Here is a 26134-nt window from a genome sequence, read left to right as displayed (position 1 = left end):
CACTGGAGGGCTCACCGGGCAGTGGAAACACTGAAGAAAAATGTTTGAGTGGCCACTTGTCTGCCACTGCAGAAAGCTGTTCATCAAGTCAAGTGTCGAAGACCCCTAGTAAACGTACTTGAACAAGGTAGCTTGTTGGGGCCAGTGGAAGAAGGTTGGCTCTAGTATTGATGGGGAGCTTTTTTTCTCTCTCACGGGGGGATGGTTAAGACATTCTCATTGTCAATAGCCCTTTTGCTTATACTACACACACTGATTCTAGCCCAGGGGCCAGAGAGTCAGGAACTCTTCTTTGGGCATTTCAGATGCCAATCTTGTGACACTTTCTTGGGACGGGTAACCCTGAGAGGGTAGGGAGCTTAATGAAACTGTTAATAATTGCATTTTTTGGCTATTTCCTTTTTTTTTTAACCTCTTTTGCCCTATCCCTATTGTAAACTTTAGAGGTGATGATTAAGAGTTGGCTCATAGAGGTTTGGGGTCCCATTGCTGCTTTCTAAAGCTTCCTTCTAATACCAGGGGTAGAATGAATAATAAAATACATACCAAGGAGAGCTTTCCCTTAGGGGTAGTCTGGGTCTGTATTCATATATTTCTGAATGCCTCAACCAAATGACCCTGAAACAGAGCAGGATTTTTGTCTTTTCCCTGACTTAATTTCTTTAACCTTGTCATAATTAACTGGCTTAACTTTTTTTTCCTACAACACAGTAAGTATGTGACAATACTTGCAAGTCTTGACAAATTAAAGCACATGGTCACCTTAACAAACATCTCTATGAACTTTTTTGGATCCTCTGAAAATCGCCCATATTTTGACTGGAGAAAGCCAAATCACACTTAGAAAATTGGACATATATTCCAAGTGTTACTTTATTTCCATCAGCTACCTCCTGCAATCGACACAGGTTCGATTTTAGACACTGATGTGGGACCCCACTCCTGGTGGTACTGTTTGAGCTTACTTTCTTCTCAGGCAGTAGGAGCTATAAGCTAGGGCTAGTGGATAAGGGGAAGGGGTACCTGATGGCCCTGGGGTGGAATCCTTCATTAGAGAACTAGTGAGATTCCCCCTGACCAGAATTGAGGGACTGAAGAAGATCCACGGAGCGTTAGGGCTTCTAGGGAGAGAAGCTAGGAGGAGATCCCTTAGGGATAGCTCAGGGGTAGCTTCCTGGTGGTGGAAGTAACATAAACAAGTAAAGGGTCATAAAAGCCTGTACATAAGGTACCTCCTCCCATTATCCTTCTTATTTACAGAATGAATCTAATTGTAAAATAACATTACATGCCTAGGCCAGATGTGTTGGTTTTCTACTGTGTAATGGACCCAAAAAGTGTTGCAATAGAAAATGAGTTTCTTTAAGCCAAATTTGAATTTGCTCTAGTAGCCTAAAAGACACCCTAGTGGAGAGTCCTCTGGGGTGCTCATCATTGTCCCCATGTCTAACAAGGATTTCTACAGGACACAGAAGACTTTCTAAATCTAGTAAGAGGGAAAGCAACTAGGCCCTTGCTATTTTTCCCTTTTAGTTTCTCACTTCCTGCAAAGAAGGTGTAAGTATAGTTAGCAAGTTATGAGAGTAGATTATAAGTGTTTGCCAGTAAACAAAATATGACAAAAGAAGTATTTTTTAACTAAGTGTAGAAGGAAAAGTGTAAATAAAGTGACAAGAAAAAAAATGCTGTTGTGAAAAATAATAACTTTAGAGCCAAAAACAAGAGAAGGCAAGACCAAGTTTCCCCCAAGATTCCCCCAGGGTGGGCCTCCAACCCACATTCCTAGAAGAAATGCCACTGTCAAAAACCCTGGAGAATCCAGGGAGCAACTAAAAATACCAAATGTCTAAAATCCACAGTACCTGAATATCGGCCAGTGAGGGTCTCCACAACTAATGCAAGAAAACCCAGAGTATCTGGGAGCCAACCAATGCTGAAAACCCCAGAGCACCCAGGGGGTAGCCAACAGAACCCCAAAGGCATGGCTGGGGCCACAGAACAATGTGACTCTGGCATTTCAGAGTCCTGCAAAAAAAACATTAATTTTAGGACTGAAAATAAAATGACTGGTGGTGCAATAAAATGGAGTCAGAAGAAAAAGGACCAGGGGAAGGGGTAACAAGGGTGTGTTTCAGGGCATTCAAATGACAGGGGACTTTAAATTGACCACTTAGCCAGAGGCTTTTATTCCCTAGCTCACCCAATATTATGGGAATTGGGGAAGTGGGGACACTCATCAATCCACAGGAGCCAAAATGGTGCTGATGAATCTTCTGCATGGGACCCAAGTGAGCTTTCTTCAGGTTCCCAAGGTTGGGTAGGCTCAGCTGTTGCAGTGGGAGTGCCAGCACAGGGACCAGTAACCCACTAGCCTGCTGGTCAGAGTGGCAGGTATTGTATAAGGCAGCAGTACTATGATCACTTGCCTGTCCACTCACCTCCACCGCCTGTCTGGAAAAATGAGGGCTCTGAAAAGAGCCTTTGCTTAGTGCTATAGCTCTTGCAGTGTGAGCAGCTCTTCAGTGTTACAACTCTTGAAGCCTCAGTCACTGACCACTTTACCATCTTTCTCCTCTTTGCTCATCATCTCACTGGTCGCTGTCTCTTGCCATCATCTTGCCAACTATAACCACTGCTTCTCTCACCGTCATCTTCTCTCTTCAGCCCCACTTTGGGCACCACTTGATGTAGGGTGAGCAAGCCCTAAAATTGGGGCTTAGCCTTGGAAGTTTCTTGGCTTTGCTCAGTGAAGAATTCAAGACCAAGCTGGTAGTAGAAGAAAACAGCTATATTGAGGCAGCAGAGTTACAGCTCTATGACTTCTCCTGCAAAGCAGCACTACCCCATAGGCAGCGTGTTGAGAATAGCAACTCAAGGGCAGTTCTACAGTCATATTTATACCCACTTTCAATTACATGCAAATTAAGGGGAGAGTTATTCAGAAATTTCTAGAAAAGGGATGGTAACTTCCTTGGAAAGGAAGGAAGGGGCAGTAAGTTTCGGGTACTGCCATAGCAATGGTAAACTGTTATGGTGCTGGTAGGTGTGTCTTATGGAAAAGTGCTTTCAGTGTATCTTCCTGTTTCAACCAGTCTTCAATCTGGTCCACAGTTGAGTCCCACCTCCTACCTCAGTTTGGCAGTTTCTTACAAAGCTAAACATTTGGTAACATTACTACATAATCCAGCAACTGCACTCCTAGATATTTACCAAACTAATTTGAAAACATGTCCCAAGAAAATATGCATATAAATGCTTATAACAATTTAATTCATAGCTATCAAAAACTAGAAACAACCAAGATGTTTTTCTATATCTGAATTCATAAATACACTCTAGTATATATTAATACACACAGTGCAATATTACTGAGTGATAAAAAGAAATGAGCTAATAAGCCACAAAATGACATTAATAAATTTTAAGTGTATATTACTATTTGAAAGAAGCCAATTTGAAAAGGCCATGTAATATGTGGCTCCATTTATATGACATCATGGAAAAGACAAAATGATAGGGATGATAAACGTATCAGTGGTTGCTAGCAGTTGGGTGGGTGAGGGGAGTTGAATAGGTGAAATTATGCTATATGACATTGTAATGTGGAATACAAGACATTAAATAGTTGTGCAGTGGCTCACGCCTGTAATCCCAGCACTTTGGGAGGCCGAGGCAGGCGGATCATGGGGTCAGGGGTTCGAGACGAGCCCGGCCAACATTGTGAAACCCCATCTCTACTAAGGATACAAAAAATTAGCGGGGCATGGTGGCACGCGCCTGTAATCCCGCTACTCAGGAGACTAAGGCAGGAGAATCGCTTGAACCTGGGAGGTGGAGGTTGCAGTGAGCAGAGATCACACCATTGCACTCCAGCCTGGGCAACAGGGCGAGACTCCATCTCAAAAAAAAAAAAAAACAGTGGGGAAAAATATACAAATTGCCCATGCAGAAGAATTCCAAATAATTTATGTGGCTATTCTGTCCCCAAGGAGGTAAAGCATAGCTCCCCACTCTCTCAAGTGCGGGCTGTGCATAGTGACCTTTCAAAGAGTATAGTATGTAAGGGAAGCATGGAAAGAGTAACTATACAGTGGAGAAACTTGACAAGCAATACCTCAGCCAGCTGATGAACGTCCACATCAACAGTGATAAGACACATTGAAAGCATGTATCCTGAATATGATAGAATGAAAATGGAATATTGCCTCTATGGTTCTCCTCCCAAAAATGTTATGAACCCAAGTCTAATCATAAGAAAAACATCCTACAAATTCCAATTTAGGGACATTCCAGAAAATGTCTGAGCAGTGCTTTCAAAACTGCCAAGATCATCAAAAACAAGTAAAGTGTTAGAAACTGTCACAGCCAAGAGGACCCTAAAGGAACATGACACTAAATACAGTGTGGTATCCACTAAATGTAATGATACCATGAATAGAAAAAAAAAGGACATAAGAAAATATGAATGAAGTATGAATTTTATTTACTAATAATGTATCAATATTGATCCATTAATTATAACAATCATACTATATTAATGTAAAATAATGATAATAAGGGAAATGGTGTGCAGTCTATGGGGAATCTATGTAATATCTTCACAAGCCTTTTCTGAATCTAAACCCATTCTAACATTAAAAGTTAATCTAAAAAAACAATTTGCCAACTTCAGGGGATGATAAAGAAACAATTCCTCTTCCTGAAAAGTAGTAAATTAAGGAAAAGAATCATGCATTTATCCTGTCATTCCTAAATAAACTGGACTCTGAGTAATTTTGGTAGCTTTGTAATATGGCAATGTGGCTGGGCTGAATTATATACTTGAGAATTCCCTTTCCTGTGTGTTTTCAGTTAGGCTGGGTGAAAAAGATCATCGAAGGCTCATGCAGTATAAGGCCTGTAGTGGCTGCCAGCACAGTGGACAGGAGAGACCAGTCTTCCGAGAGTCAAGCTGCTTGATAATGCAGCCCAAAGTAAGTGGTAAACTTCATCTTTGGCTAAATATCAGCAAGATACTGATATTTAATAAACTAGTACAATAAGGGAAAGTTGAAAATAATTTTGAAAGGAGAGAGTGAGCAAGACAGAAAACAGTCTTTTATAACCTAGTTTAGAAAGTGACATCCCATCACTTCTGCCATATTCTATTCCTTATAAGAGAGTCACTGGTCCTAGCTTACATTCAAGAGGAGGGGATTACACTGAGCATGAATACCAGGAGGCAGGGATCATTGAGAGCCATTTAGAAACTGCCTACCACAGTTTGCTTTGTGACTCCCCATTGACTCACATCCTTCCACATACAAAACACACTCATCCCCTCCCAGAGTCCCCAAAATTCTCATCCCATCACACCATCCGCTCAAAGGCTAGAATATGGCAACCTCCAAATCAGATTGTATACAGATAGGGCTCCTCGGGTGTAGTAACTATTTATTTTCCTTCTTAAAAATTAAAGATGCTTGATTTCCAAATCTAAAACTTAAAAATATTATTAACTTCAAGGCAAATGCATCCTTCTTGTCATTAGCAAATTGTACACGATCTATCATATATATTCCAAAGTAAATATTTAAGTGCTAAAGAGGAAATACTTTAGGAGAGCTTAATTAACAATTGCCAGGTCCATTGATTAATCTTGACAAATGTCTTTATTAAATGTTAATGAGAATCTAGAAGACTGACGACAATTTCTGAAGTTAGCTGGCAGATCAAGACTCAGATACTTGATTAATACTAATTCTTTCCTGTCCTATTTTAGAGTGTAAAAATGACACTTGCGACATTTTTCAACTGATATCAAAGAAGTAAAAAGAGAAAATTTATTATGCTTCCTAAAATAGTTGAAACTTTCATTCACAAATGACAGAAGCACACTTTAAACTAGTATAAGCAAAAATGGAATAAGGAATTTACTTGTTCATTGCAATTGAGAAATGTAAGGCAGAGCTGGATTCAGATGCAAATGAGACCTCAAATAATATTGTCTTACCTTTCTGCTTCCCTTTCTCTCCAGCTCTCAGGACCACATTTTTGAGAATGTTCGAAAATTCTCCTCTTTAGGCACATATCAACCCATCAAATGACCATAGAACACACAGAAAGATCTCCTTTTTTGAATCAATATATAAAATTTCAGAGAAGGCCTCTGATTGGTCCAACCTGGATCACATGTACGTTGGGCTGATTTTTTTAATCAAGAAGCAGGGTACTGTTATCACAAACACACCAGAACTGGAGTAGAAGAGGGCCAGTCTCCTAAGGAAGGGCAAGAAATAGGGGAGAGCAGGTGGGAAGGGGATTTTACCACAGGAGGAAAGAAAAAGATAGCTGGACAAGCTAAAGCAGTTTTGTTATGCTGTCTTAATAGTAAATTGAAATCAATTATTATGTGAGTTATCCAGCTACATCTAAAATGTAAAAAGATACTAACACTTCAATTCAAGAAAGTTTACCTCGGCCAAGATTTCTCTGCTTTTGAAAACTAATAATCTTCATAGTCATTCCCATCTATTATGTATTTAAACTTTCAATTTGTTGGTATTTAATGCTACACACCATCACTAGAAGAAGAATTATAGGTATTTGCTTTTTAATCTGAGTAAAGATTTACCTTATCTTAGTCTGAGTTCACTGCTGTTGTAGTAGATGTTTAAATAGTTTTTACATATGACTCAACTGTAAAAGTTCTCTAATATAACTCTTCCAATAAAAAACATGGTATATGCAAAAACAACACATTTATAAAAGTAACCTAACTCCTGTAAGAAGGTGATACTACTGACATGTTGTTGATAATGTTGTTTTAAATTGTTTTCAACTACTTTCTTGGAAAATAAAATGATAAAAAAACTGAAAAATGAATAACTTGATGAGATATTTTAAGATGAACTCACTTATAACTACCACCCAGATCATAAAGTAGAATTTTGCAAGCCACCCAGCAACTCCTCCATGTAACTCATCACAGTAATAAGTCCCTTATTCTCCTAAATTTAATCACTGTTCTGACATTTGTAACATTCACTTCCTTCCATTCATTATCATGTTATCACCTAAGTATGCATCCTTAGACACTATAATTTAATCTTGCACCCTCTTTAAGAATCTGATGTGTCTTTTAAGTCTCTTTTAATTTATAGGTTTCTCCTTCACCCCTTTCTTCTTATATCTGTTAAATAACTCGGTGCATTTGAACTATAGAATATCTCAGCAGGTTCCTGTAGCAGTTTAATTATTTCAAGTCTGTTCCTTCAGCTCTCTTAATAATTGTGTAAATTGCTAATAATCCTGAATAAATCCTTTTCTGTTTAAACTAGTCAGAGTGGGTGCAAATGCCTATAGCTAAAAAATACACATATAGTGGAATATAAGATGAGGATGAAAGTTATCTTTAAGAAAATTTTTAGTGAAATTTTATTTAGAAATAAATCCAGCTGGGTGCAGTGGCTCACACCTGTAATCCCAGCACTTTGGGAGGCCGAGGCGGTCGGATCATGAGGTCAGGAGTTCAAGACCATCCTGGCTAACACAGTGAAACCCCATCTTTACTAAAAATACAAAAAATTAGCTGGCTGTGGTGGTGGACACCTGTAATCCCAGCTACCTGGGAGGCTGAGGCAGGAGAATCTCAAGTACCTGGGAGGCGGAGCTTGCAGTGAGCCAAGATCACACCACTGCACTCCAGCCTGGACAACAGAGTGAGACTCCATCTCAAAAAATAAATAAATAAATAAAAATAAATCCACATTATGAGAAATAATATTGCAGCTTAGTTTCTTCATGTCATGTAGACACCAAGACAACTCTTTCTAAAAGTGTTCATCTTGTATTATAGATCCATATGCAGATCTCTATCAATAGGCCAAGAATATGTGTTGATATAGATGAAAATCTCCATGCAGAGATGAGAAATATATGGCAAAATTTAGGTTTGTAATATTTCCAGCAAAACCCAAATTAGCTTTAGAATTTGAAAAGCAAATATGATTTAGCTTTTAATGAGCATAAACAATGTACATGATACCACCAAGAAATAATGGTAATCACCTATCTTCTTACTGGTTTGAAATGATCATACAACTTAAGGAAGAAGACAAAAGACTCAAACACAGACAATACTGTTAGCAAAAGGCAAAGTCTGCAAGTGTGAAGTGACTTTAAGTGTAATCACTACTGGATTTAATGTAGTAAAGATTAATGAAGATGCATAATGCATAAGTATTCCTTGAAGCTAGCTAGAAAACAGCAAGTAAGGCATTGACAAACGGAATGTCATCATTCTAATGCAATACTTTTATTGACTACCCTTATTCAGTAGGTTCAAAAGGAAATACAGAGGAAACAGCTAGAAAATAATCTAATAAACTTACCACATATTATATATGTTTTCCATCTAACCAGGCAATGGTCCAGAAATAAAATTAATGTTTTAGCCAATGTATTCTTGGCATTACCCAAAGTCGTTGAAAGCTCTTCAATAACAAAAACCATAAGAAAATAGTGTTGAGATACATAACATAGGATAGGAATGTGTAAATCATAATATCATAACAGAGATACTAATAGAAATAATGCTAAAATACCTGCACATTCACACATTATAAAGGAATATAAAGAAGGATCTATTCCAAAATCTCCAAGTTGGAATGATTCACTCTTTGTAGTCTAGGCATTTGGTTGGTCAGTTATGTCTTAATACCAAAATTCACTTGTATGTTAACATATGTCTACACAATACTGAAAGACAGCAGCCTACAACAGAAAGGACAGATGTGTAGCAGACACTGTGTTATTTGCACAAACTCTATTGTTATGTCAGATACTCCTAAGTAATGATAGAACTCTTTCCTGAGGACATGGGCAAAGATTCAGAATCTCAACTCAGGGATCCAGGCAGCTACTACTAATGGAACAAACATGGATGATCCTTGAGACTATGTCTATTTGCCCTCCCTGGCCTGCAGTAAATAGGCAGAAGGATAACCTTGAATTATTTGACAAGAGATAAGCTAAAAATAGCTGGTAATAAGCAGTAGAAATAAGTATCATTAAAATTTCCACCGAATGATGCTTCATAATGGAAAAGTTATTAACTTGAGTTTGAAAAATCATGTTTCCTCAACTGGTATGATAGGTAGTCGATGATTTAAATCCCTTGTTTTTCAAATCATAGTCAACCTAATCTTTTATACTCCATAGAGTGCTTATGTTAATTCCAATAAAAATAATATTTTATAAAAAATAAGGTACTGCTATGAGCATGTTTTTGAAGGAAGCAATGCATGTTTGTGAAGGAAGCACAAATGTAACACAGACCAACCATAATGCCCCAAAATTTAATATAGAAAAGCATGTTTCTTTGAAAATGCAAATTCAATTTTTATCTATTATTGAACTTCTATGATAGGTGATGCACCTTTGGAGATTACAATCCTATGTAGTGGTCCAAAATATGAGTTCTGGAATCCTAGTGCCAGGGGTCAAATCATGGCCCTGTCACTCCCTAACTGACCTTGGTGACTTCTCTAAGCCTGAGTTTTCCCATCTATAAAATGAAGTAAAAATATTAGCTATGTCATTGTGAAGTGGTATAAACTCATGATATATTATAATGCAACAGTACTACACCATCTTCAACTAGTGAACACTCAACAAGACTTAGAAGTTATTGTTTTTATTATTGTTATTGTTGTCATTGTAATACAAAGATCAATATGACTCATTTAATATTCTCAAATCCTCTTTCAAGAGTCTGGGAGCATAGGGTGGGAGGGGAGGTGGAGGATGGAGAAGTGGGAGGAAAAAACAGAATACATCTAACAGAATAATATGTTATAAGAGATAGAATAATATTGGCATATTGACATAAAAACTGTTAGATCAACTGATATCAGAATTCAAGTTCAGTGGAAAGGATTAAGAAGATCTTCATCGAGAAGATGAAATTTTGAGAAAGGCATGAGATGGTACCTATGATTTCAACAGACAGAAGGGTCAACATGAGCAAGCTGGAAAGAATGCAGAGGACATGTTTGGAGACTAATGAGTCAGAAATTAAGGAGTAGGTAAGGAAAAATGTGAAAATATAATTTAAAAGTTAGGCTGAACCATATGCTAAAGGGCCAAGATGCTGTGCTGAAAGTTTGAAATTGAATAAAACAAGTTAGAAACTCAGCATGTAATACAGAGCTAGAAGTCTGTTTGTAGAAACAAATCATAACAGGGTATTTTTATGGGACAATGATGACTCACCACCCCCAAAGTCAAAGGCCAGTCAAATGTGCTTTTTTTAAATTTTACTTTGAATTATAGTAAATAATATTTTTGTTAATATTCTTAAATTACAGGGAAAGTTTTGCAAAATCTAGTTAATCTCACAATTTGCATAATGTTACTCTAAACTGTCTGTTACCTTCTCAAATGATAATCAATGAAAATATACCATATAAAAGAAGTATACATAACTGCTGTTTTAAAACATGTATATAATACCCAGATAATAAACCACATTAAAAGTGACATCTTCTGGATTAAAGACTTAAACGTTAGACCTAAAACCATAAAAACCCTAGAAGAAAACCTAGGCATTACCATTCAGGACACAGGCATGGGCAAGGACTTCATGTCTAAAACACCAAAAGCAATGGCAACAAAAGCCAAAATTGACAAATGGGATCTAATTAAACTCAAGAGCTTCTGCCAGCAAAAGAAACTACCATCAGAGTGAACAGGCAACCTACAAAATGGGAGAAAATTTTTGCAACCTACTCATCTGACAAAGATCCAGAATCTACAATGAACTCAAACAAATTTATAAGAAAAAAACAAACAACTCCATCAAAAAGTGCGCGAAGGACATGAACAGACACTTCTCAAAAGAAGACATTTATGCAGCCAAAAAACACATGAAAAAATGCTCACCATCATTGGCCATCAGAGAAATGCAAATCAAAACCACAATGAGATACCATCTCACACCAGTTAGAATGGCAATCATTCAAAAGTCAGGAAACAACAGGTGCTGGAGAGGATGTGGAGAAATAGGAACACTTTTACACTGTTGGTGGGACTGTAAACTAGTTCAACCACTGTGGAAGTCAGTGTGGCGATTCCTCAGGGATCTAGAACTAGAAATACCATTTGACCCAGCCATCCCATTACTGGGTATATACCCAAAGGATTATAAATCATGCTGCTATAAAGACACATGCACACGTATGTTTATTGCGGCATTATTCACAATGGCAAAGACTTGGAACCAACCCAAATGTCCAACAATGATAGACTGGATTAAGAAAATGTGGCACATATACACCATGGAATACTATGCAGCCACAAAAAAGGATGAGTTCATGTCTTTTGTAGGGACATGGATGAAATTGGAAATCATCATTCTCAGTAAACTATCACAAGAACAAAAAACCAAACACTGCATATTCTCACTCATAGGTGGGAATTGAACAATGAGAACACATGGACACAGGAAGGGGAACATCACACTCTGGGGACTGTTGTGGGGTGGGGGGAGGGGGGAGGGATAGCATTGGGAGATATACCTAATGCTAGACGACAAGTTAGTGGGTGCAGCGCACCAGCATGGCACATGTATACATATGTAACTAACCTGCATATTGTGCACATGTACCCTAAAACTTAAAGTATAATAATAATAAATAAATAAATAAATAAAAAGAATGAAAAGAGAATAAAAAAATAAAATAAAATAGAATTTCAAAAAAAAGTGACATCTTCAAAATCATCTTCAGATACTCTTTTCTTATTACAAAGAACTATGAACCTCTGAATTTTGCATTTATCTAAGTAGCACTGGACTTAGCTTTATAAAGACTTGAAAAGAGGCATATAAGCTTCTCTTCAATCAAGGATATCTACATAAAGAATCAAGACACATCTTTTTTAAAGTAATAAAATAAAATACCATGTTAAGTGGCTAGAATAAAGTAAAAAATAAAGGGAGCTAACCTTTTTTGAAAGCCATGTAGTTTACATCCCACATCTCACTGAATCTGCTCAGCAGCCCCATTTTTACAGATCAGAGAGGTTATCAAGAGGTCATCTTCCCAACAGGTGAGGCTAAGCCTGGACTCAGGAGCTAGAAATTCAAATGCTAGTGCTGCCTCTAAAGGCTTTGTGATCTTAGGCAAATGGTAAGCCTCTTTAAGTCTCAGTTGCTTCATCTGTTAAACTGGGAATATAACAGTGTTTGATAAACACAGATGCTGTGAAGGAAAACTAAAAAGTATGTGTGAAATAATTACACCCTATTTACTTGAAGTATGTTCTGAGGAATTCTAGTCCTGGAAGATTGTTGTGACCACAAATGGATCTACAGTCTTATAGATTGATTCTTGGGAATGACTATGTATAATTTTTACCCTTTGGAGATTTATAGTGTTCATTAAGACTCTGAGAAATCCTGCAGTCAAATATTTAAAAATGTAGCTTTAACTTCACTTAACCCATAAGTTTTCAAATTTATTTTTACATAGACTATCGTTTTACTCGTTTCCCTTTCATTACTTTTCCTATCGTTTATTCTTTTTCTTCCTTTCTTTGTTCCTTTTTATGGAGCATCTAAGCCCCTCTATCCAAAGAAAAATACTCCACAGAATATTCTCCAGGAAGCACTTTATAATACAATTAGCTGGCATTCATAGCAGGCATGAGAGATTCAAACAATTAGCAATATAAAAGTTCAAATACGGAAAAGGTACATGAGAAATGGCATGACCCAAGAGGCTTTACAAAAGAAATAAACTTCATGCAGAGATACAAACTTAGACAAACAGAATAAAAAGGAGACTTACACAGGCAGAGTAAACACAGTTCAAATGGAGAGTTTGTAAAGGTTATAATATTGATGGTGATGCCAGATATCATGGCTATTGCATACCAAATACATAATATTCATCAGGCATTATCTCATTTAGCAGGTGAGAAGTTTAGTGAAGTAGACCAGGACCAAATTTGGGAAACTCTGAGTACCTTCTTATATAGCTATCTTCCTGATAAAATCCATGGGGAATTTAAGTGTTCAATCATTCAAAAAGCATTCATTGAAAACTGCTCCTCAAAGCAATATGCTAGATACTTTGTGTAAGAGGAGTAAAGAATTAGTATGCTGAAAGCAAATTAGAAGGCAGTAAGTTGGAGGGAGGAGAATATAGGTAGGGAGACGAGCTAGCAAGCTATCATGTGAATCAAGGTATAAAATGATGAGGGCCTGGAGACAGAGTTAAGGTGGAAAACAAAGAAAAAGATTAGGTGAGAAATCAGTTCTGGGTGTCACATGATTAAGGAAGAGTGATAATTGTGACTAAGAATGGGTTAGCCCTCTAAAGCAGGATCTTTAAACTGCAGATTTTGGTACATTAGGGTTTGTGAAATGGGTTTAATGGATCACAACCAATATCTTACTGCATTCAAAGAAAAAGAAAAGAAAACAGCAGAGTGTACCTACACACTAAGTATTGTTTCATGAAACTTTTATTTCAGAACTACGTACTACACATGTGTGCACTGGGTCATATGTAGTTAAAAACTTTAAGATTCTATGCAAATAAAGAATGAAATAAAGCAGTGAAATCAGAAAAATGAGAGAATTTTAAGGAGATGATATCACATACCAATTATAAAAGAACTAAACACAATGATTTCTCAGAGAAAATTATTGGGCTTACATAAAATAGGGTCAATCAGAAAAGAGCAGACACTAGACTACTAAGAAATATCATATTTTTTTTATTCATAGCATATTAACTTAGTAAACTAATGTACCTCAATCATGTGTAAAGATGACCAAATATTTTGAATTACCCTCATGTCTCTGATAGACTTTTCTTTTCTTAGTTTCGTGTTAATAATAACTCAAGTATTTAAGATCTGTAATGTATAATATTGAGAAAATCTGTAATTTATGAAAATATGACCCTTAAAAACCAAAAATAAATCACTAGCTGTATAGGCATGCAGAAAGTATCCTTAAAAGGATTAAGATCCAGTTCCATTCATACCAAAAGCCTTGGACAAGGCAAAAGTTATGCTATTCTTCCAAAAACTGTACCTTGATTTCTGTTTATTATCCTTTCCGTTCAAATACTGCATCAAGCACAAGCTATTTTAAAACATTGAAAATATTGCTTTAGGTTAAGAAGAGATAAGGGACTTAGCTGTTACTGTCAGTTGTTTGTGCATTACTCTGACATTTTACAAGACAAGGCATTTGGCCATCTCTGGTTGTCTAGATCTGCAATGGATGTATTTCAATGAATACTAAATTCAAAGAAAATTTATTGAGTTTCTAGTATGTAGATATTTCAACAATATTGTCGTTTCTTGTACATAAGAAATTAACAATCCCGTAGGAGTTCCAATTATATAATGAACCACGATTAAGGCAGAGTATGCTATGTGCCATGCTATAGATAAAATCCAGGGTCAAAAGGGTTTCAGAGAATAAAGATACATTTTATTTTTCACTAGGATGATTGATGAAGACTTTATAAGAGATGTGACACTTTAACTGGTTCTTGAAAAACAATAGAATTCTGACAGGTCAAAATTAGAAGTAGGGATTAATGATGTAAGAAGATAAACAAGATGAGGAAAAGGAGAGATGAAGATTCACAGTCAACCAATTTGAATATATCATAAGGTATATGTGCAGAAGGGTGGATGATGCTGTAATGAGCTACCCAGATCACCCTCAGGAATGAAGGACCTACATTCCAGTTTCTGGAAATTCTGCCAACTTACAGCCCTTAGATGTCAGCTCTCTCCAAAAATATCCTATGCCTAAAAAGAGCCACCTGAATCAAGGTCACTCTCTCATCATGGGCCCGCCAATGTTTAATGATTGACTGATGCAGAAGTACAAAGGCACTCACTGGATGCAGGACAATTCTGACAGCTATCCCAGCTTCAGAGATCCTGGTTCAGCTGAAGCCTTTGTTGAGACCACATCACATCTCAACTTCTACTTCTGCCAAACTCTGTTTCATTTACTTCCCTTACCTCCACAGGAGTTGATCCCAACAGTGCTTCCTAACAAACTTCCTGCACACTAATATCCATCTCAGAGTCCTTATTTGGGAGGCCAACCTATGACAAGAAGCATTAGTAGAGATTTCTGATTTTTAAGATGAAGAACAGAAAGCATTCTACTCTTTCTATTCATTTTGTCCTCCAAGATACTTCCCAGAACTCACAAGTAGACAAAGAAATAGAAATTCCATATTCATTAAAACCAGGAGATATATTTGAACTCAAAATATAATATAGAAAGAAGGAAAATAAAGACCAGTGCATTTAGCAAAATATTGGCTTGTTAGACTTCAAAGCACTCAGAAGAGAATAACTAAAAAACAATTTGCCCCACATATCCATGAAGATTGTTTAGGGACTGAACTTTGTCCCCCCAAAACCACATGTTAAAGTCTTAAATGCCCAGTCCCCAACCCAGTACCACAGAATGTAACTGTGTTTGGAGAGAGAATCTTTATAGAGATAGGTAATTAAGTTAAAATGAAGTCCTAGGTGGGCCTTAATACAATATGACTTGTGTGCTTAGAAGAGGAAATTAGGACACAGAAACATACAGAGGGAAGGTTATGTAAAGACACAGAAAGAAGACAGTGATTTACAAGCCAAGAAGAGAGCCCTTCAGAAGAAACCAACCCTGCCAACACTTTGATCTTGAACTTGACTCAGGAACTATGAGAAAATAAATTCTGTTATTCAAGTCACCCTGTCTACTGTGTTTTGTTATGATGGCCCAAGAAGACTATGGGTCTTATCTAATATCTCACGCCTAAAGATCTTAAGCTGTTTGAGAAAACTCAAAAGAACAATTAAAGCAAGAAAATACAAAGGAAACACAACCAGCATAGAATATAACAGCAAGCTTTAAAGTAATCATCTTCAATATTCTAAGAGAGATAAGAGAACAAATTATATCAAGAAACAAGATATAGATTGCTATGAAAATAAAAAAATTTCTTTTAAATTAAAAAATGTAACAGATAGAATTAGAAAAAATTAATAGCATACTCACAAAATAAATTTAGAAATTAGAAATTTTCCCAAAAAAAATCAATGAAAAGAAAAGAGTTAGAGAATAGGAGAGAAAAGAAAATTAAAAGACCAGTTGAGGAAGGCCAATATTCAGCTAAAAGGGAGACCATGTGACATTGCTCTAGCTAATAAGATGTAAATGGAACTCATTATTAGGTAGAGCTTCTAGGAAAATATTTTAAAAGAAAAAAGACTCAGAGAGCTCAAGCTTTCTGCTTGTTTTCATTCTTTCTTCCTGTCTGAAATATAGATGAATGCTGAAAATAAAGCATTAATCTTGCAACCTAGAAGTGACCTGCATGATACAAATAGCCACATGAAAACAATTGGAAAGTCAGAATGAAACTTGTGTCCCAAATGGCATAGTGAAGCCTATTCATCATCACTGAGCTGCTATTTCTGGACTTCTTACTATACGGGTAACATTGAACTTCTTGGCACAGTGTAGCCAAGTCTTCCATAATTAGCCAGTGTAATCTATTTCATTATTATAGTATACTATTTGACTCAGCAGATACTTAAAACATCATAAAAATAGAAACTCTAAATATTAACTTAACAAAAACTATAATGTAACCAAAAATAGTATATATTAGAAATGTGGGGATGTATTAGAGTTCTCCAGAGAAACAAAACCAATAGGAGATAGATATAATAGATATAATAGATAGATGATAGATAGATAGATAGATAGATAGATGATAGATAGATAGATAGATAGATAGATAGATAGATAGATAGATTGATGTGGAGAGAGAGGTTGTGAGAAATTGGCTCACATGATTTTAGAGGATAAGAAGTCCCATGATCTACCATCTGCACATAAGTAAGTATATTCCAGGCCAAGGCAGGAGAAGCTGCAATGAGAAGTTCCAGCTCATACAGTGAGGCAGGAAAAAAAAAGGGCAAATTCCTCCTTCCTCTACCTTTTGTTCTATTCAGGCCCTCAACCCTGAACAGATTAAATGATGCCCACTCACATTGCGGAAGAGTATCTACTTTACTCAGTCCACTGATTCAAATACTAATCTCATCCGGAAACTCCCAGAGATACACTCAAAATATTTAACCTGGATACCCCTTGGTCCAGTCAATTTGACACATAACATTAATCATCACAGGGGAGTTGCAAGATAGCAAAAATCCTGATCTATGATATTCAAGTTCAAATAAATGCCTTAAACTAATTAATCGAGAGAAAGAAATGTAAGTATATAACTTAAAAATATAAAGTAACTATTATAAAAGAGTGAAAGTGGCTGCCAAAGGAAGCTATAGTTTGAAAATAAAAAGACATGAAGCAGGTGAATGAATTTTTAATTTTAATCCTTTTGACACTGTTAGACTTTATTAAATGTTCTGCATGTATTTTTTTTTTTAATTTAGAAAGTATTTGAAGATGAGGAATGAATTCCAGTAGTCCTTAACTAAGCCCTTATCCTCTAGCCTTCAGACTTAAAAAATTTAATAAAGGTCACTCTCATTTTGTCAAATGGCCAATGAACATTTTAAGTCAGCACTCCAAGCGACTTCACATATAAAATCAGAAAAGTACAAATGATTTTAAATTTCACAGTACTCTTTTAGGATGGTTGGTATTCAAACATCTACATGTTCCACATTTTAACTATCCAGTGTCCCAGTAATCGATTTCCAGTTTTCCTTTCCCACTGCCCCAGTGATGGATTTCCAGGCTTATTTTCCCACTGCCCCAGTGATGGGAACCTAGGATTACCTACCTATAGGCCCAGCTCTTCTATCTCTGTCCAGGTGGCAGACATCCAGGGCTGCCTTCAACTCCTGCCTTGACAAACATTTCTGCAAAGAAAATCCTAAATCCTCACATGTGTCTCCTCAAGCTCACTGAGATGTGTACTCAGAAGTAGAAAGGTAGGGTTGTAGGATACACTTACACTTAATCTGAATAAGTCATGTCAGATCCACTACCACTACCACTAGAAGTGCAATAGAGTTCTTATGCCTTCATATTTCAGTTGCTATTACCTAACTTTCAAATACCTGCCACTCTAATCATTTACAATTACAGCTCAATGATGCTTGAACTTGAATTTCTTAAATTACTCACCATTCTGACCATCTTATCACATGCCTCTTAGTTTTCTAAGTTTATTCTTCTGTAATTTCATGTTCATCTATTTTTGTCTGTTCCCTGGGGTGCCTTTTTCTAGTTGATTTTTAGGAGACACTTGTGTAGTTTATATATTAAGCACTAGTTGCTGTTAGATTTTGAAAATGTTTTTCCACTTATTATCAGTTAATTTTATTCAATGAGTTCTTTATTGAACAGAATGTTTAATTTTTATGTAATGTTATCAATTTGCAATTTTAATTTTTTTAATTTTTCAACTTTTAAATTTTGGAGTATATGTACAGGTTTGTTACCTGGATATATTTCATGATGCTGAGGCTTGGGTATAAATGATCCCATCACCCAGGTACTGGGCATAGAACCAACAGCTTTTCCACACCTGCTCCCCTCCCTCCCTGTCCACTCTAGTAGTCCCTAGTGTCTATTGTTGCCATCTTTAAGTCCATACGTACCCAATGGTTAGCTTTCACTTATAAATGAGAACACACAGTATTTGGTTTTCTGTTCCTACATTAATTTGCTTAGGATAATGGCCTCCAGCTGGATCTATATTGCCGCAAGGACATGATTTCATTCTTTTGTATGGCTCCAAAGTATTCTATGGTGTATATATACCACATTTTCTTTATCCAGTCCACTGTTGATGGGCACCTAGGTTGATTCCATGTCTTTGTTATTGTGAATAGTACTGGACTAAACATGTGAGTGTATGTGTTTTCAGTAGAACAATTTGTTTTCTTTTGCGTATATACCCAGTAATGGATTGCTGGGTCAAATGTTAGTTCTGTTTTTTAAGTTCTTTGAGAAACCTCCAATCTGCTTTCTACAGTGGCTGAAATAATTTATATTTCTACCAACAGTGTAGAAGTGCTCCCTTTTCTCTGCAGCCTCACCAATATCTGTTGTGTTTTGACTTTTTAATAATAGCTATTCTGAATGGTGTGAGATGCTATCTCATTGTGGAGCTTTGTTGTTGTTGCTGTTGTTATTGTTGTTGTTGTTGTTTTGAGACAGAGTCTTGCTCTGTCGCCCAGGCTGGAGTGCAGTGACGCGATCTTGGCTCACTGCAAGCTCCGCCTCCCGGGGTCACACCATTCTCCTGCCTCAGCCTCCAGAGTAGCTGGGACTACAGGCACCCGCCACCATGCCCGGCTAATTTTTTGTATTTTTATAGAGACGGGGTTTCACCGTGTTAGTCAGGATGGTCTCGATCTGCTGACCTCATGATCTGCCCACTTCGGCCTCCCAAAGTGCTGGGATTACAGGTGTGAGCCACCACACCCGGCTGTTGCTGTTGTTTTTTGAGATAGAGTCTCACTCTGTGGCCCAGGCTGATCTCAGCTCACTGCAATCTCCACTACCCTGCCCTGAGCTCAAGCTATTCTCCTGCCTCAAGCTCTGGAGTAGCTGAGATCACAGGCACATGCCACTAGGACCTGCTAATTTTTGTATTTTTAGTAGAGATGGGGTTTCACCATGTTGGCCAGGCTGGTCTCGAAGTCCTGACCTCTAGTGTTCCACATGCCTAGGCCTCCCGAAGTGCTGGAATTACATCATTGTGTTTTTGATTTGCATTTCTGTAATGATTAGCGATATGCAGAAATTTTTTAATTTTTATTTTTATTTTAAGTTCTGGGGTACATGAGCAGGATGTGCAGGTTTGTTACATAGGTAAACATGTGCCATGGTGGTTTGCTGAACCTATCAACCCACCACCTAGGTATTAAGCCCAGCATGCATTAGCTATTTTTCCTAATGCTCTCCTTCCCTCTACCCCACCCCCTGTATTCTTGATTTAGCTCTCAGCTTGAACAGTATTGGTATATAGAAATACGGCTGGTTTTTTTACATTGATTTTGTATCCTAAAGATTTGATGAAGTTGTTTACTGATTCCTGGAGCCTTTTGGTGAAGTCTTCAGGGTATTCAAGAAATAGAATTATATCATCAGCAAGAAGAGATAGTTTGACTTATTTTCCTATTTGGATGCCTTTCTCTGGCCTGATTGCTCTGACTAGTATTTCCAATACTATGTTGAATAGGAGGGGGAAGAGTAGGCATCTTTGTCTTATTCCAGTTATCAAGGAGAATGCTTCCAGTTTTTGCCTGTTCAGTATGTTGTTGGCTGTGGGTTTGTCATAAATGGCTTTCATCATTTTGAGGTATGTTGCCTAGTTTCTCCAGGGTTTTTACCATGAAAGAATGCTGGATTTTATCTAAAGCTCTTTTTGCACCTATTGAGATGATCATATAGTTTTTGTAATATAATTCTGTTTATGTGATGAATCACATTTATTGATTTGCATATGTTGAAACAACCTTGCATCCTGGGAATGAAGCCTACTTGATTATGGTCAACTAACTTATTGATGTGCTGCTGAATTCAGTTTGTTAGTATTTTGTTGAGGTTTTTTTGCATCTATGTTCATCAGGGATATTGGCCAGTAGTTTTCTTTAGTGGTTGTGTCTTTGGCAGGGTGTTGCTAGCTTCATATAATGAGTTAAGGGGGAGACCCTCCTCCTCAAATTTTTGAAATAGTTTCAGTAGAATAAGTACCAGGTCTTCTTTGTACATCTGGTAGGATTCAGCTATGAATCCTTCTGGTCCAGGGCTTTTTTGGTTGTTAGGTTTTTTTATTACTGATTCAATTTCAGAACCCGATATTGTTCTGTTCGAGGTTTCAATTTCTTCATGACTCAATCTTAGGAGATTGTGTTTTTCCAAGAATTTATCCATTTCCTCTAGATTTCCTAGTTTGTGTGCATAGAGGTATTCATAATAGTCCCTGAGCATTTTTTTTTATTTCTGTGGGTTCAGTTGTAATGTCACTTTTGTCATTTCTGATAGTGTTTATTTGGATCTTTTCTCCTTGTAAATCTGGCTAGTGGTCTATCAATCCTGTGTATTCTTTCAAACACCAACCTTTGATTTCATCAATTCTTTATATGAATTTTTGGGTGTCAATTTCATTCAGTTCCACTCTAATTTTAGTTATTTCTTTTATTTTGCTAGCTTTAGGGTTAGTTCATCCTTGTTTTCCTAGTTCCTTGAGGTGCATTGTTAGATCATTAATTTGAGATCTTCCTAACTTTTTGAAGTAGGCATTTAGCACTATAAACTTTCCTCTTAACACTGCTTTTGCTAATTCCCATAGATTAGGGTAATTTGTGTCTCTGTTTTTATTTAGTTGAAATTTTTTTATTTCTGCCTTGATTTCATCATATACCCCAAAGTCATTCAGGAGCATATTGTTTAATGTCCATGAAATTGTATGCTTTGGGGAGATTTTCTTAGTATTTATTTTTATTTTTGTTTCACTGTGGTCTGAGAGTACGGTTGGTAGGTTTTTGATTTTTTTGAATGTATTGAGACTTGCTTTATAGGGGAGTAGGTGGTCAATCTAGGACTATGTTTCATGTGCAGATAAAAAAATGTATATTCTGTGGTTGATAGGTGGAGTATTCTGTAGATGTCTATTAGGTCCAATTTGTCAAGTGTCAAGTTTAAGTCCAGAATTTTTTTGTTAGTTTTCTGACTTGATGATCTGTCTGATGCAGTCATTGTGGTGTTGAAGGTCACTACTATTATTGTGTGACTGTCTAAATCTTATAACAAGTCTAGAAGTACTTGTCTTATGAATCTGGATACTCCAATGTTGGGAGCTTAAATATTTAGGATAGTTAAGCCTTCTTGAATTAAACACTTTATCATTATGTATTGCCCTTCTTTGTTCTTTTTTACTGTTGTTGGTTTAAAGTCTGTTTTGTTCTGATATAAGAATAGCAATTCCTTCTTTTTTTCTTTTCCATTTGCATGGCAGATCTTTCTCTGACCCTTTACTTTGAGCCTATGAGTGTCATTATTTTGAAATTCCTTAAGATTTTTAATTCCAGAAACTCTGATTGATTTATTTTTAAGATGTTTATCTCTTCCTTCATTTCCTAGATTGCTTAAAAGTTTCTTTGTGTTACTTTTCAACCTTGTCTTGGATCTCATTGAGCTTTCTTGCAATTCCTGCTTTGAATTCTTTATCTGTCATTTGTGAATTTCCATTTCGGTTAAGGAACCATTCCTGGAGTGCAAGTAGAATCCTTTGGTGGAGTCACTATGTTCATCTTCAACTGAAATTCCAGGTGGTGGTGAGTCCAATTATTTCATGAGTCCCTCATTTCACAAAACATGAAAGCTGTTTTTTTATAAATCTTTTTTTTTTTTTTTTTTTTTTTTTTTTTGAGACAGAGTTTTTGCTCTTATTGCCCAGGCTGGAGTGCAATGGCATGATCTCAGCTCACTGCAATCTCTGCCTCCCTGCAATTTCTGCCTCCCCGGTTCAAGCGATTCTCCTGCCTCAGCCTCCTGAGTAGCTGGGATTACAGGTATGTACCACCACGCCTGGCTAATTTTGTATTTTTAGTAGAGACAGGGTTTCTCCATATTGGTGAGTCTGGTATCGAACTCCCAAGCTCAGGTGATCCGCCTGCCTTGGCCTCCCAAAGTGTTGGGATTACAGGCGTGAGCCACCGTGCCTGGCCTAATTCATTTTTTAAATGGGTTTATTTTTTGTTTTTACCCATTCAACAGAAAAAAAAAATTAGACATGGTGAAATTTACAATTGGTGACATCATCCTTCACTCTGTCTGTACTATGAGATTCTACACTTAAAGCTCAGCATTATTGGTATAAAACTTTAAGACACCATAAGGATTCTCAAGTGAAGAAAAAGGGGGAAATTAAAAATGATCTGCAAACAACTAAGAATGACTAAACATTGAACCAGACCTAAAACATCTTCCAATTCCTCTGCACACTGCATCCCATTACTATCCAGCCAGATCAGACAACAGGGAAGGAACAGAGAAGCCACTTGGTAGATATTTTCAAGGGATTTTAACAGAATACTCTCAAATGAGAAAACAACTCATGGTTTCTTATGTTTGCTATAAAGCAATAAAAGGGTGAGAATTATGAAATCTCAAATGGAGATATTAAATGACTGTGAATTTAGGAAAAAGATCATAATTTCTGACAAAATAGAAAAAATTAATTGGGATGTACTAGGTTTGTTTTGCTTTGTTTGTTTTTAAGGATACTTATATTTCACATTGGTCTCATTGATAAGGTGACCCAAAAAAACTTTTTTTTTTTTTTTTTTTTTTTTTTGAGACAGAGTCTCACTCTGTCGCCCAGGCTCACTGCAGAGCATGGCTCACTGCAACCTCCGTCTCCTGGGTTCAAGCAATTCTCCTGCCTCAGCCTCCCAAGTAGCTGGGATTACAGGCACTCACCACCATGCCTGGCTAATTTTTGTATTTTTAGTAGAGATGGGGTTTCACCATCTTGGCTAGGCTGGTCTTGAACTCCTGACCTCATGATCCACCCACCTCGCAATGTGGCAGGATTACAGGCATGAGAGTGAGTTCTACAGTATCATTTTAAAAAGTACAGGTGAATGTGGATCCATCTGCGAAAAAAAAAAAAAGAACTACAAAAAGACAAAAATGCAACACTCAGCCCTTGCAAAGGACGACACACTGGAGCTGACCAAGCACGTGCTTTATAAATGCTTTTTCAAAATCAAATGATAGAACATACAAGAAACTGGTTTGTTCTTATTGTTTATTTTGATTGTGTCATTCCTTGCACATCACCTCCTCATCGTCCTAGCATTTCGCGTAGTGAGAAAAGTCATCAAAGATAAAGGTTGTGTGCTTGTAGGAAGCAATAATTTTCAGCACTTGTTTTTCTTTTTCTAAAGGCACCTCCTGTGTGTCATGGTTTATGACTGGCTTGTTGTCATGATTCTCCAGTCTGATGTGCCTGAGCTCGTTATTGGGTACATCACTGACAAAAATCCACTCGACATCAAACTTCCCCTTCCATTTGTCTTGAGACCAGACTCCGGCACTGGTGCTGCTGTCCACAGAGCACTTCATCTCCGCCACCCCACAGAAATACTCACTCCCACTGATGCCAAAGAGCAGGCAGACAGGCCCCTTGCTGCTTATGGAGCTGAATGCACTATTCAACTAAGTAGTGCCATGTTCTGTACTACACAAAAGGGAGTACTTAATGGAGTGGTGAATGTCATCCTCAGAATAGCTCTTTATAATGCGTACATGTCCACTTTTAAGATTCCAGTCAAATTCTTTAGGATTATAACTGTGGGCAGCTTTCACTTTTTTTTATACTTGGGGCAGAATTAGTCTTGGTATTTCCAGGAGAGTTACTACCACTGTCAGCCCCTCTGCTCTGCCCAAATGCCATATTTCCACGTGAGGAATGATCCAGCAGGTCTGGAATGGCTGCTGAGGGCTCTGATACTGTGGTTGAGCCAAAGCAGGAAGCTTCACTGGGAGAAGCTGAAGCACCTTCTGGGGTTGTAGGACAGCCTGTGAGGATCATGTCTCCTGGGGGGCCGGGGTCTTCAGCACAGGCCCCTTGTTATCCTGGGTGTCAATACCCATGTTATGCTTTATAGATGGAGGGGGCAATGCACCCCCCTATGACAGGCCCACTCCTTGTTTCCATTTTAGGCCGTGGTTTTGCAGGCTTGCTGGCAATGGCGGCCCATGAGGTCAGCTTTGAAACTGCCATGTTCACATATGTCCCATCATTGCCAGAAAGTATGCCAATCAGTGCCACACTGCTGATGACAGAGCCCACTGTCTTGACTGCAGAGGAGATGACATCCCCAATTTTCAGGCTGACTATGCCCTGCTTCAGGCTGTTCACCCCAGGGGCCTTGCTAAGGGTGTCGCTGTGAAAGCCCATCTGCCCATCAACCACTGCGTGGCCCAGGGAGCTTGGGGGTAGGTGTAGCTGCTCCCATATGTAGAGCTCTGAATCTGCTACCCTTGAGACCCACTTGTCCTCCATGCCAAGAATACAGGGTTTGGGGGTAAAAATTAAACCTGTGCTGATAGATTTTGTTCTCCGGACCCCAAGGCCACCCCAAAATAGAATTGTGCATAAAATTATGATCTCTGTTACTGAGCTGTTCATAGGTGATGAGGTGTAGAATCAAAGGGTCCCTTGCAGTGGACCACAGAGCCTCATTGAGGGATTAAGGAACTCCAGTGGATGGTGGGTAATAGCCGGACAGGTAGAGGTCACTCACTGAAGGGTAATTGTTACTCTAATTTGACTCTCCAGAAAGGTAGGGCTGAAAGTCATTGTCATGAACCACATCCTTCTGATGCAAAGAATCATTGTGTACTTTATTATCTTGTCCTTTTGTTCTCTAAGTGTCCATGCTGATGGTCACATGCTTCATGAACAGCCTGGGGCAGTGCAGGGCCGGGACACTGGCTGGCTCAAGCATCCCTGTGAGGCTGGGCCTGTCATCTCTGCTAACGCAATCTCTGGCCTCACCACCAACTCCCCAGGTACCAGCTGGGCAGTGGCAGTGGCAGTGGCTGCTGGGTGCTCAGGCCACTGGTGAGGCACTACCTCAGTAATGCTTTTCCCAAGCCCCAGTCTATGTAAGTTTCCTGTTATAAACTCCAATATTCCTCTGTAATTTTCTATTTTTCCATCATGGTAGTTATCATCCTTGCCATTTCTTTTTCTCTATTTTTTGAGACTGAGGGCTCACTACATTGCCCAGGCTGGTCTCAAACTCCTGAGTTCAAGCAATCCTCCCGCCTCAGCCTCCCAAGTAGCTGGGATTATAAGCATGTGCCACCAGGCCTGGCTATCCTTGCCATTTCTTTCCCGCTATCCACCTACTCAACAAAATTGTGAAGACAAAAGGGCAAGAAATGTGGCGATCTTGTTTACTAATGCTTATCCCAGCACCTTCCATGGGGTAGAAGGTGCTCAATGAAGTCTGCAGAATCAGTAAATAAATGGGAAAGAATGGGCATTTCATACATAACCAGAAATTTATATAATAAATAAAAGCCTATGAGAAAAACTAGATTTAATTA

At 37.8% G+C, this 26134-nt stretch overlaps 1 pseudogene, besides 1 other annotated feature; it reads right to left on the bottom strand.

The window, feature by feature from the left end:
• Nucleotides 4741–5940: an enhancer, noted in NCBI's record as "P300/CBP strongly-dependent group 1 enhancer chr5:96724001-96725200 (GRCh37/hg19 assembly coordinates)". NCBI's record gives its function as "activates an origin of replication core promoter dependent on BRD2, BRD4, P300/CBP, MED14 and CDK7 cofactors, with strong dependence on P300/CBP, by STARR-seq in HCT116 cells {active_cell/tissue: HCT116}" and the evidence as "EXISTENCE:reporter gene assay evidence [ECO:0000049][PMID:35650434]".
• Nucleotides 23618–25650, bottom strand: YTHDF1P1 (YTH domain family member 1 pseudogene 1; annotated as a pseudogene).

Source organism: Homo sapiens, chromosome 5 (assembly GCF_000001405.40).
Source record: "Homo sapiens chromosome 5, GRCh38.p14 Primary Assembly".
Taxonomy (NCBI): Eukaryota; Metazoa; Chordata; class Mammalia; order Primates; family Hominidae; genus Homo; species Homo sapiens.
Note: the sequence above shows the minus strand (reverse complement) of the source record. Positions and strands in the feature narration are given on the sequence as shown.